General features: G+C 38.1%; 1 long non-coding RNA gene across 1 annotated transcript; it reads right to left on the minus strand.

The window, feature by feature from the left end:
• Window positions 1-392: 392 nt before the first annotated feature.
• Window positions 393-7,328, minus strand: LOC107984017 (uncharacterized). The gene is made up of 3 exons (XR_001745734.1): window positions 7,252-7,328; window positions 1,020-1,120; window positions 393-543 (listed from the first exon to the last, which is right to left on the minus strand). It is a non-coding gene; the product is annotated as an uncharacterized LOC107984017 (long non-coding RNA).
• Window positions 7,329-14,057: the final 6,729 nt, after the last annotated feature.

The raw sequence follows: 14,057 nt of genomic DNA on the forward strand, positions 1-14,057 counted from the left end.
GGAGATTGGAGAGATAATGATTTTGGCAAAGGATAAAGATAATATCCACTTAAAATGCAAATCAGAACACCCCTCTCCCTGTTCTGACCATCCAATGGCTTCCTTTCTATGTATTATAAAGTCCAGAGTTCTTACCCTGATCTACAAGGCCCCATTCTGACCTTATCTCCCAGAGCTCTTCCCTGTGCTCCTGTGCTCAGCTTCATTGGCCTTCTTCCTGCTTTTCAAACACACTGAGCCCACTTATATTCAGAGCCTCTGACATGGGTGTCCTCTGTCTGTATCACTTCCTCCAGGGCTCCCTGGCACTAGTTCCCTAGCTTCCTACAAACTCCTGCCCAAATGATACCCCCTCAGCATGACTTTCTCTGAATGGGCACAGTATTTGTGATTCCTGGGCTTTTTGTTATGGATTTATTTACTTACTAAATGTGTGAATTTCCCTCCGGAACTTCTCAATGGCAGAAAGTTTGTTTTTTGATGATGTTGTTTTCCCTTTTGTTTGTTTCCTTTATGCTGTTTCTCTAGTTCTTAGAGCGATGGCTAGAAGATACCAGACACTCAGTAAACACTTGTTGAATAAATACATGAAAACTGGAAGAAATGGATGAATGAATGGCATGATTTGATGGGTTGGTTCTAAAACAAATTAGAGAAATCAGAGAAAATTCCCCTTATTTCACATAAACACTAATATACTGAACTATGAAATCAAACATAAGAATAATGGGGGAAAATTAAACATTTTTCTTTAATTTCTCTTTCTGCAGATACATCTGACCTTCATTTGTGCTTGAGTGTTGTACCTCTGGGGTAAAAATTGGTGCACAGTTCTTGGTATAGTTCAGGCACCTGAGGCTAATTAACATTTCATCTAATAATGCTGATACAAAGTTGTAGATTTAGTAAAACAGTTTAAGGTGAGACCTACATGCCTTTTCTTGAGTGATAGTATTGAAAAATTAACAAGAAGCCAAATAACTAATTTTCTTAAAAAATAAAAGAAAATGAAAATATACCTTTAGTTGATTTGCTGTTGCTGAATATTTTTTCTTGCAGAAATCACTTAAATTTTACTGAGGAATAGAAGGACATTTGTATGGGGCATTTATCAGAATCACTAAAAAGCAAGAGTAAACAAATTCAGCATTTTTTATAATAAAGGCAAATTACCAAACTATCTCACATTTATAAATTCCTTTTAGATATAACAAATACTTCATCTAGTTAAATCTAAACAACAATTTGATACCTTAATTATTCCCATTTAATAGAAGATAATTGTTTCTGAAGCACATATAAAGAATGAAGAGTGAATTTCAACAAATATGTCCTGCTCCTGCTACCCTTAAGAAAACAGATAACACCTATTGAATCATGGTCTGTGCTGGGCATTATTCTAAATTATTTCATGAACTAATCAGTTTAATCTTTACAACCCTACAAAAACTATTATCCCCATTTTAAAGTTAACTGAGGTATGAGAAAATAATTTTCCCCAAATTACAAAGCCAGAAGGTTGTAGACATGAGATTTGAATCCAGGTGGTCTTAACCAATGTTCCATACTGCCATGACCACAACACTCTATGCCTCTCAATGTGCTACAAGTACTCACTGTACAAGGCTTTATTTATGCAAATCAGAGATGAGCAAATTAAGACACAAGGGAAGGTGTGTTATTTCCCTGGAACAAATTAAGAAACAGATAGGGAAAAGATAAATATCTGTATATATAGCAGAAAAAGCATGACAGAAAACAATGCAGAAGGGCTAGAAACTGATGAATACTGCAGTGGTTTTCAAGTTAGTTCAGTTCATATACATACATATTGAATATGTTATATTTTTAAACATATAATATTTTAAAATATATCATTTCTGAGAAGGAAAAATAAATATAAATAATGTAAGTATACAAATATTATCTCCAAATTAGTATTAAACTAAAATTTAATTTATGGCAGACTACTCAAATGATTTTTTTGTTTGGTATTTAGGGTGCATATAGGATTTTAGATGAAATGATGTTAAATTTTACACTGAAAAAAATTGCCAAAATCGTCAAAAAAGGAATGAAGTAGGGTTGAAGTCCTGCCTCACAAATATCAGAAAACAGTAGAAAACACTCAATATCATATTGGCACAGTAATAGACACTAGATTAATAGGTCAGAAAAGAGGATCTAGAAATAAATCCTAGTCTCTATGATGACTTAGTAGATCTATGTGACTAAGTCGGTAGTTCAACTGGGGTGGGGAGAAAATTAACAAATGATGTCATCTATCATCATTAACCATGTGAAAGAAAACACAATTCTACTTCAAATATGAAAATAAATTACCTATGAGTTTAAAACTTATCTAAAATAATAAGAAAAATAGAATTCCTGCAAGAAAATAGAATGGACTTTATATCAGATCAAATGCTAATGGAGACTTTCTAAATCAATTCTGGAAACCCAGAAGCTAGAAAATATAAGATATAGATATGTGCTTATGAAAAATTAAAAAAAAGTATTTCATAGCAGAAGATACTATAAATAGAAATAAGAAAAAAATATATATATATAGAAAAAAATGCTGCAATACAGAGAAGAGATGGCAGCATGACAATACATGTGTGTACCACACTATTTTTCTCTTCCTAAGCACATAGAAAGGCTACATTCTCAACTTTCCATGTAATTTGGTTTGGGCCATGAAACTGAATTCTGGCCATTGGGATGTAGACAGATATGATATAAAACACTTGCTGGTCTTAAAAATACTCTGCTCTATTCTTTTATTGCTACTTTTTGATATATAACAAACTACCTTAAAATTTAGAGGCATGAAACAACACTTATTATCTCACAGTTTCCGTGGGTTAAGAATCTGGATGAGGCTTCACTGGGTCCTCCGGTCTGGCTTGGGGGGTCTCTCACTGGCTGCGGTCAGGGTTTTAGCTGGGGCTTTTACCTCCTCTGAAGGCTCCACTGGGGAAGAATTCACTTCTAAGTTTTTCCTTAGAGCCTCCAGAAGGGGCATAGTCCTGCTGACACCTTCATTTCAGCCTAGTGATACTTACTTGGTCTTGTGGACTCCAGAAGTGTGAGAGTATAAATTTCTGCTGTTTTAGGTCACCAAGTATGTAGTAATTTGTTACAACAGTCACAGAAAACTAATACACAGGTAAAAGAAGACTCAAAGAGAATGAGAACAGTGATAGACCTTAAGTCCCAGAGAGCACAGAAGTGAGGAGACAGAACTTCAGAGGATATATGAAGTCATATGAAGCAAAGTCAGGAAGGATAAGCCTGGTGTCCTTGAGCTACTGGTGGTTACCAATTAAATAGGGATAAAGAGGTTGATGGGATTAGCTTTGATGACCTAAGAGGCAGGCTTTGAAGGTGAGTGTTGAAGGGAGGAAGTGGGTGTATGGCAATGACCTGAACATGTGTGTCTCCCCAAAACTCATATGCTAAAATCCTAATGCCCAAGATAATGTATTAAGAGATTAGACCTTTGGGAGATGATATGGTTTGGATCTGTGTCCCCACCCAAATCTCATGCTCAATTATAATCCCTAATGTTGGAGGTGGGGTCTGGTGGGAGGCAATTGATTGGACCACGGAAGTTGTTTCTCGTGGTTTAACATCATCCTCTTTGGTGCTGTCATCGTGATAGTGAGTTCTCATGAAGTCTAGTTGTTTAAAAGTATGTAGCACTTCTCCACCTCTCTCTTCCTCCTGTCCTGGCCATGTGAAGTGCCTCACTCCCCTTTTGCCTTCTGCCATGATTGGAAACTTCCAGAGGGCTCCCCAGAAGCAGAAGCTGCTATGCTTCCTGTACAGCCTGCAGATCATAAGCCAATTAAAACTCCCTTCTTTATAAATTACCCAGTCTCAGGTATTTCTTTATAGCAATGCGAGAATGGTCTAATACAGGGGATAATTGGGTCATGGGGGCTGAGAGCTCATGAATGGAATTAATTCCCTCATAAAAGATTCTCCACGGCGTTCCCTCACCCTTTCTGCCATGTGAGGACATGGCTAGAAGACCACTGTCTATGAACCAGAAAGTAGCCCTCACCAATCACCAAATCTTCCAGCACTTGATCTTGGACCTCCAGCTTCCAGAACTGTGAGAAGTAAATTCCAATTGTTTATAAGCCACTCAGTATACAATATTTTAATATAGCAGCTCAAGCTGACTAAGACATATATTATGCCAGGATGTGGAGTTTTGGAGTCCCCCTTTCATTTCTACAAACTGAGGTGTGGAGAGCACAGAAGGAAGAAGTTAACTGATGGTACAAGATATATATTTACATACAAATGTGTATGTATATTTATAGTTGTGAATATATGTGCATATATTTGACTATGTATGCATAATTTGTTTATATTTTATGTGTACATTTATTTTTAGGTTCATATAAATACACCGACATATATGTATATATTTGAATATTATTTTTAAAGCACAAAGTGGAAGGATAAGAGTTTGGCTAGGATAGCAGAAATAATAGGGATGAAGAAGTAAAGAGAGATGCTGGTCCTGAGGAAAAAATAATAAAACAGGAAAAAAATGATAATATATGCAACATATAGGCATTTCTGTAATGCTACAAAGGTCTGTATATGTCTAAGAAATTTTAAAAATAAATTTACAAAATATCATTTGTATAGCATTGGAAGTGCCGAAGGACCTTGTTAGAAGTTAAATCCAGACGTCACATGGTGCTAACACTTATGTAGTAGTTTCCCCTGCATTTGCTCTTTCTTATTTTTATTTTACTGGGTTTATGGTTGTAAGTCATTCAGCATTGCAGACAATTCAACTTACTACAGCTCCAGCTCTCACTGTGAATCACCTCTTGAATCTTCCTTTGTGTCTTTGAAAGAGGGAGACTGCCAGTGCTCAGTGCGCTTTAAGCCCTTGCCTGAGTTGACCTTAAGGAAGGTCTATTTCAAGAACCTGTTATTTTGATACAATTAAAATGTGAATAAAAATGTCTTTAAACATTTTTTTCAGTAAATGGGTGTCGCCTGACCATCCAAATTTTTCTCTTATTATCATTTGCCACCATATGATTTTTAAATCCAGCATCTTTACATGAATGAGTACTAACCAAGCTGTTCTACTCTTAAACTGGGATGCTAAAGGCATTTTTTTATTTTTATTTTTAGCATCTCCCAGCCCCAAAATCTCACTCATGTCACAATTTAATACAAGTCCTGGAACTGTGCATTCTTCCCCTGGATAGTCTTCATTCAGAGAACTGACCAAGGGAAAGAAAAAGCATGGAGGTTTGCTAGAAGTTTCTGTGGGGTTATTATACATCACTTCCATGCATATTGTTTTGAATAATCCATTATTTGTATACTAGTCATGGATTCTGAAACCTGACTACCTGGACTCAAATCCTGGCTTTACCACTAACTGGCTGTGTGTTCTTGAGAAAGTGACTTAACCTTTCTGTGCTTCTTTAAAATGTGGATAATAATCAATAGCAATGACCTCATAGGGTTGTTGTGAAAAGTAAATGAATTATCCATGCACTGCACTCGGTTCCTGGCACATAGTAGATAGTAGGTGATATAGTTTGGCTGTGTGCCCACTCAAATCTAATCTTAAATTGTAGTGCCCATAACCCCCACGTGTCATGAGAGGAACCCAGTGGGAGGTAACTGAATCATGGGGGCAGTTACCCCCATGCTGCTGTTCTTATGACAGTGAGTGAGTTCCCATGAAATCTAATGGTTTTATAAGGGGCTTTTCCCTTTTTTTGCTAGGCACTTATCCTTCCTGCCGCCATGTGAAGAGGATGTGTTTGCTTCCCCTTCCGCCATGATTGTTAAGTTTCCTAAGGACTCCCCAGCCATGCTGAACTGTGAGTCAATTATATCTCTTTTCTTTATGAACTACCCAGTCTCAGATATGTCTTTATTAGCAACGTGAGAACAGACTAATACACTAGGCAACTGTGAACTGTTTATTATTACTGGGAGTGTTGGGGGGTATTTAAGTGAACAATTTCCACCAAAAGTGGAGCATGGAGAAGGAGGAAAGGGTGAGATGAAAAACTAAAAAGAATAAGGGAAAGAAAAGCCTATGACTTTGGTTAGAATGTGAGAGTGCTTTGGAAGCAATGAAGCACCCTAGAAAAACCACATTCAAGGTTAAGAGTAGGGGCCTGGGGACTTGAATGCTATGAATATGCAGAGTCAGTACAGTAAATACTGCAGTCAGGGAACTTAGGTATTGAGTATGTGTGGACAAAGTTGTAGGGTTCAGGAAAAATAAATCTATAAAATTACTTTCATTAAGACTAAAAATGTATCTCAGGGAAAGTTAGAAAACAAAAACTACAATACATACTTAAATTCTGCATAGTAAATATAAAGTCAAATAGGAAAGCAGTTATCTCTTTATACATATTTTTCAATGACTTACTGGGATAACAAAACTTCCACACAAATAGCTAAATACATATTTCCTTCCTTATTCATGCACCCAATAGCTTGACAATAAGAAAACTTGGCTTTTAACCTCAGGTTGCTCAAGGACAACTTTCTCATTCTGAAAAGAGGTTTTAGTCTCAATTCATAAAAGCCTCTGCCTGTTTTTAAAATTTTATTTCAGAGAACACAAATGCATTTCTAACGGGCAGTAGGCTACTAATGAGACATATTGGCTCACAATCTTCTTATCAATCTTTTAAATTATTAATCAAATGAATTTGTCGAAGCACATTGAACACCTCACACAAGAAAATACTTTGTTATAACGGAACTGTTTTATTCAGATTTTTCTATTTCTGGGTTTTTCTAATATAAAGTACAGCCTGATCTGAGGAAATACAGTGGATTTTATATAGACTTCTAAAATAAACCTCTCAGCTTTATGTTTTTGTCTTTTGAAACACTTTCTTATATTTTGTATTGATACATACTATTTGTACATATTTATGAAGTACAAGTGATATTTTGTTACATGAACAAATGTGTAGATCAAGTCAGAGTATTTAGGGTATCCATCACCTGGGGCGTTTATCATTTCTATGTGTTGGGAATGTATCGAATCCTCTCTTCTAGCTGCTTTGAAACACACAATACATTGTTGTTAACTATAGTCACCCTAGTCTGTTATCAAACATTAGAATATATTCCTTCCATTTAACTGTATCCATTAAACAACCTCTCTTCACCCCCTCTGCCTCCCCTACACCCTTCCCAGCTTCTGTTAACTATCATTCTACGCTCTACCTCTAGGAGATCAACTTCTTTTTGTAATCTCCCACATATGGGTGAGAATATGTGATATTTGTCTTTCTGTATCTGGCTTACTTCACTTAACATAATGACCTCCAGTTCTAACCTTATTGCTGCAAAGGACAAGATTCCATTCTTTATTATGACTGAATAGTATTCCATTGTGTACATATGCCACATTTTAAATCTATTTATCTGTTGTTGGACACTTAGGTTGATTCCTTTTCGTTGTTATTGTGAATAGTGCTGCAATAAAAGTTGGGGATGCAGGTACTCCTTTGATATAATGATTTATTTTCCTTTGGATAAATACCCAGTAGTGGAATTGCTGGATTGTATGGTAGTTTTATTTTTAGTTTTTTGAGACATCTCCATACTGTCTTGCGTAATGGCTGTAATAATTTACATTCCTACAAACAGTAAATGAGTTCCCGTTTTATGCATCTTTTCCAGCATCTATTTTATTTTTTTCTTTTTAGCAATAGCCATTCTAACTGGAGTATGATAACATCTTATTGTGGTTTTGATTTGCATTTCTCTAATGATTCGTGATATTGAACATTTTTTAATATACCTGTTGGCAATTTGTGTATCTTTTTTGATAAATATCTATTTATATCCTTTCCTTATTTTTAAACGAAATTATTTGTTATTTTTTTCTGTTGGGTTGTTTGAGTTATTTGTATATTCTGGATATTAGTCCCTTGTGGCATGAATAGTTTGCAAATATTTTCTCCCATTTCACAGGCTGTCTCTTTGCACTGTTGATTAATTATTGTTTCCTTTACTGTGCAGAAGATTTTTGGTTGAATATAGTCCCATTTGTCTATTTGTTGTTTTTGTAGACTATGCTTTTGGGGTCTTAGCCATAGTCTTTTCCTAGATCAATGTTTTAGAGTGTTTTCCCTATTTTTTCTCTTAGTAGTTTTATAGTTTCAGGTCTTATGTTAAAGTCTTTAATTCATCATGAGTTGATTTTGTATATGGTGAGAGATAGCGGTGCAGTTTCATTCTTCTGCATATGGTTATCCAGTTTTCCCAGCATCGTTTCAGTATCCTCTGCTCATTGTATGTTCTTGACAGCTTTGTGGAAGATCAGTTGTCTATAAACGTGGTTTTATTTCTGGATTTTCTATTCTGTTCCATCAGTCTATGTGTCTGTTTTTATAACAATATCATGCTGTGTTGGTTACTATAGCCTTGTAATATATTTTGAAATCAGATAGTATGATACCTCCAGCTTTGTTCTTTTTGCTCATGATTGCTTTGTCTAGTCAGGCTTTTTGTTTGTTACATACAAATTTTTGGTGTGTTTTTTTTCTATTTCTGTGAAAAATGTCACTGGTATTTTGATGGCATTGAATCTGTAGATTGGGTAGTATGGTCATTTTAATAATATTAATTCTTTCAATTTATGGGCATGGGATATCTTTTCATTTGTTTGTGTCTGCTTCAATTTCTTTCATCAGTGTTTCTAGTTTTCCTTGTAGAGTTTTTTCAGCTCTTTGTTAAATTTATTCCTAGGTGGTTTTTTTTTTTTTTGCAATTTTTGTAAGTGGGATTGCTTTCTTGATTTCTTTCTCAGCTAGGTTGCTATTAGTATATAAAAACACTCCTGATTTTTGTATATTAATCTTATATCCTGCAACTTTACTACATTTATTTATCAGATCTAAGAGTTTTTTGATAGTCTGTAGGTTTTTCTATATATAAAATTATGTCATTTTCAAAGAGAGACAAGTTGACTTCCTCTTTTCCATTTTGGATGCATTTTATTTCCTTCCCTTGACTGATTGCTCTGGCTAGGAGTTCCAGTTCTACGTTGCATAAGAGTCATGAAAGTAGGCATTCTTATCTAGTTCCATTTCTTGGAAGAAAGGCTTTTCAGCTTTTCCTCATTTATTATAATGTTAGCTGTGTGTTTGTCACATTTGGCCTTTATTATGTGGAGATACTTTTCTTCTATGCCTAATTCATTGAGAGTTTTTATAACGAAGAGATGCTGATTTTATCAAATACTTTTCTGCATCTATTGAGATGATCACAGGGTTTTTGTCCTTCATTGTACTGATGTGATGTACCATATTTATTGCTCAGGTGGCGGCTGCAGCAAAGAAAGAGAGAACCTTTCCTCAGGGTGCATGCATGTGCAAGGGGGCCCTGCTGCTGGAGGAGTGGGACAGGGGAGGCAGTGGTTTGTGGTGGATGCCCCAGACAGGTGGCTCTCAGGCTCTGAAGAGTGTGCCTTTTGGCCCCTGGTAGCAGTGGTGGTGGTGGTGGTGGTGGTGGTGGTGTCAGGGAGCACGCAGGTGCACTGTCGCCTCCTACTGATAAGGGTGGGGTTGTTGTCAGTGGCAGTCGCCACATGCAGACAGGTAGGTTTCCAGCTCTGGAGAGTGCTCTTTGCCTCCCTTTGTCCTGGAGGCAGCCTCCTCAGTGTGCTGAACTGCCCTTTCCCCTGGGTGCAGGAAATTGTGCAGGGGATCCTGCCACTGCTCTGCGGGGTAGGTCCGACCAGTGTCATGACACACAGCCTTCCTGGTGGACATGGAGGGATGTCAGTGGGGCTCCCAGGATGTGGATTGAGCCCGGGGCCAGGGTGCAGTCTGTTGGAGGCTGCACTCTCAAAATGGTGCCATATTGCTGCTGCTTGGGTCTCCAGGGTGTGTGGGATCCAGTGTGAGCTCCCTTTCTGCAGCAATGCTATTACATGGTACCTACAGGCAGCTCCTTCTATTAGTCTCAGGGCTGCCAGGGTCAAAGGACTATCCCATGGCTAGGATTGCAGGAGTCCACAGTGGGAATGTGAACTGCTGGGGATTTCTCACTTGCCCTTTCCTGGCACAGGGGAGCCTCTCCAGGCTCCTGGCTGATCCTGGCTGGGCTATTTGCCTGCTTCTCACTCCTTCTGTGACTCAGGTGTTGTTTCCTGTCACTTCTTTGCTCAATTCCAGCATTCTGTCTTGGATGCTCTATTTGAATTGTGGATCATCTACTCGCTATTTTGGTTCTTCTTTGTGGAGGAGGGAGTGTCTGATGCCTCTAGTCAGCCATCTTGAAGCCTCCAGAATTCTGAAACACTTTGAAAGAGCTGTTTGAGTGGCATTAGACAGAGTATTTTAAAGGTTGATTTTTGTGTGTGTGAATGCTGGCCTATTAAAAGAGAAATGCAAAAATAGAACAACAAAAATTGTCATCTATATTAAATGGTATTTGTTTCATTAACACTTGCAGTGAAAAATTAATATAACTATGGAAGTTCCATCACAATTAGTGATTTTTTTTAAAAAAAAAGGCGTATACTGATTTGCACCTCAAGATGATGTGTTCTTGTAATGGAGCAAAAGTTAAACTTGTGTAATGAATATCTTTATCTTTCAAAACCATAATCCCTGCTAAGTAACCCCATCCTCCTCCTTCCCCCAAACCTTATCCATATGTCCAACTAATTCTTCAAGCATTGAGTATTCACTTACTACTCTTTTTGGTGCTGAGAGTAAGAAATGAGTAAGATATGCATTGCTCTTGAGAAATGCAAAGTTTTCAGAAAATGGTTGGATTGGAGCTTTGGGAAGTAAAGTTTCCTCTAAGAAGGATGTGGTAGAGACAGCAGCAACACAAATAGAAAGTCAGTGTTAATGAGCTGAATTACACCTGCGAGCAATGTGTATGTTGAATCCTGAACACACCTCCAAATGTGACTGTATTTGGAGACAGGATATTTAAAAGGGTGATTAAGTTAAAAAGAGGTCATTAAGGTGGGCCCTAATCAAATTGGAATCATCTCCTTATACAAAAAGGAAACCTGGACACACAGAGAGACACCAGGCATGCACACAGAGGAAAGACTATGTGAGGATGCAGTGAAAACACAGCCGCCTAAAGGCAAGGAGAGAGGCCTCGGGGAAAAAACAAACATTCCACCATCTTGATCCTGGGCTTTGAGGCTCCAGAACTGTGAGAAAATACATTCTGTTGTTTCAGTCACTCAGTCTGTGGTGTTTTGTTATGGCAACCCTAGTAATTGAATGTCCCCAGTTTGATAAATGACTCTCAAGATCCTTACCATGGTTTTTTGCATTAGGCCTTATCAAAGTAAAATTGCACCAGACAAAGTTAAGCAGACCAGGAAGGTTCTTTTGAAGACTATTGCAATAAAGGTGAAAGGCTGAATTCAATTATGTTGAGACAAATGGTGGGACAATCTTTTAAGCCTTGGGGTGAACTAGTGGAAAAGTGCTGAAGAACAGTAGGGAGAGGCTGATCAGTGGGATGTGTCCAGCATGATGTGTTATTCCTGGGTTTGTGAAAGTTTCTCTCTGTAATTGGACCACCTGTGTTTGCTAATGGGCTCCTATTGAAGTTAGGCCCTTATTCTCCCGTAGAGACAAGGGGTTATGATTGCTATTTCCCTCAGTATTGACATTTCAAAGAGATGGTTCTCAGCTCCTGGAGAAAGACATTCCTGGGTTGTAAAACTTACAAGAGACTGGGAAAAGATTTACATATATTTCAAAGGGGCGGAGAAATAATTTACAATTGCTAGTTTCCTTAAGTAAATGCTCTAAGAACAGGGAGGTCAGAACCTATAGTCAGAAAGAAAACTGTCTATCAAGTGGGGAGATTGTTAAAGCCATATTACTCAATGTCTTTGGGATGGAACAGGCTGGCTTCTAGTCCTGGAAGGACAGCAAGTTCCTAGCCATTGATTTGCCTGTGTACCTGCACAAATTGACGTCACCAGAAGCCATTTTTATGGAATGGAGAAGCATCCCACAATACTGTACTTCGAAAATTCTAATCATTCCACAGAGACCAAGCAGGAGCCATCAGAAAGCATGAAATAACTCTCTGCTATTGCCATTCTGGGCTTCCACAAATGGTGCCCTAGGCTGGATCTCATTAAATCTGCATCCCTTTTTCCACCTCAAATCACTCAGAGCCCAGCAATTACCCAGTAAGTGCTTTCTCAAACAGCAAATGCAAGATTCATTTTCTTTTAAATCCTCCATCTGTTTCTTTGTTTTAAAATGGCTCTGCTTTGAAATTGGTGTCTTCACACAAAACAGGTAGTGGTTTGTTTTCATTCTATTTCTTCTGTCAGGAGTTGTCTAAAGATTGAGAGAAAATTCTCCTCTGCCTTGCAGCCCTAGGAAACTGAGTGCTGGTGTGAAAGCATCCACAGGTAGACACAAAATTATCTGTAACTGCTCTATACAAAACACCAGTGGGACTCAACTGCTAGAGAGGCACATAATCATGATCTGAGTTACAGGCTTGAGGAATAGCCCATGCTAGAAGGTATACCAGCTGTCTTGTGCTGCCTGACAAATTTCCAACCCTTTCCTAAAGCCAAGTCTTCAGTCGTAGGGGAAAGTTTCTTGCTGAACCTTGGGGGACAGTCCGTTCTTTATAATCCAAACTAGCTATACTAGCAATTTTCTCTCTTCTTGGGGTAAGGAAACAAGTGAATTAAATAGAATAACTTATCCTTCCTGAGTGGAATTACAAAGGCACAAAGCTTAATGCTGTGATCCTGGCCTGTGTGTTTGGTGGAGAGAAGAATATGGATTAAAAGGTAGACACATTAGACATTTAGATATACGCATAATCCTTTCTATTTTATAAATATATTCATTCTAATAGCTGACTTCCTGTTAGGATAAATGCATTCATGCTTTGCTTTGAATGGCACAGCTGGCTTTCTGCCTTTTAGGTAGATGCAATTTTGCTATCTCCAAGTATGTTATAAGCAGAGGAGCAAAAGAAAAAAGTGAAAGAGAGATAAGAGTAGAATCGTGGCAACAGTTTATTCCCGTGTTGAGCTCAGACTGAAAACACCATGGAAGTATATACCAGCACCATGGAAGTTTATACTCCCCACCACCCTCAATACCTCCAAAACCTCTTAAATGACTTACACACCTCCCCTCCCCTCCCTCCTCCCTTCCCCTCCCCTCCCTCCCTCCCCTCCCCTCCCCTCCTCTTCTCTTCTCTTTTTTTGAGACAGAGTCTCACTCTGTTGCCCAGGCTGGAGTGCAGTGGCATGATCTTGGCTCACTGTAACCTCTACCTTCCAGGCCCAAGCGATTCTCCTGCCTCAGCCTCCTGAGTAGCTGGGATTACAGGTGTGTACCACCATGGCTGGCTAACACACTTCCCTTTTCCTGCTCAAGGTAACTGCTACTTCCAAGTTACCCTTTATTCGTCTCTTCCTCTTTCACATATTTTTCATATTAGATGATTTTGGAGATACAGGACTTATTGACTGAATTATTTGAGGCATGCACAGCATTCCTTTCACTAATACAACCAAGTCAGAGCATTTCTAATCTTTACAAGGTACACTGCCTCAAATCCAGATGGTGATTTTTTTCCTCCACAGAACTGTAGATCTAAAGGTACAATATGTATGACAAGAATAATCATTCAGCAGACATTCATTGAGCACCTCCAATGTACATGGTGCTGGAAATAAAGCCTTGAGTAGGACAGACAGGGCCTCTCCTGCAAAGAGCTTCCAGTGTTTCAAGGAAAACAAGTAATTACAATAAAAAATAGAAAAGGTCTAAGATTCCTTGCAGGTGGTCTAACCTAGCCTTGGCTGAGTGGAGTTAAAAAATGAAGAGCCTGGAAAGAGTGATATTTAATTCAAGAATTAAAGAGGAATTAGCCATATGCAGTAATATGGGAAAAGGAGCCCAATAAAGAGAATAGCATGCAAAAGTCTAGACTCTAGAGGTAAGAGAAAGCCTGGCTTTTGGGGGAAACTGAAAGCAGCTCACTATGGCTAGAGAAAA

Source organism: Homo sapiens, chromosome 8, assembly GCF_000001405.40.
Source record: "Homo sapiens chromosome 8, GRCh38.p14 Primary Assembly".
In the NCBI taxonomy this organism is placed as follows: domain Eukaryota; kingdom Metazoa; phylum Chordata; class Mammalia; order Primates; family Hominidae; genus Homo; species Homo sapiens.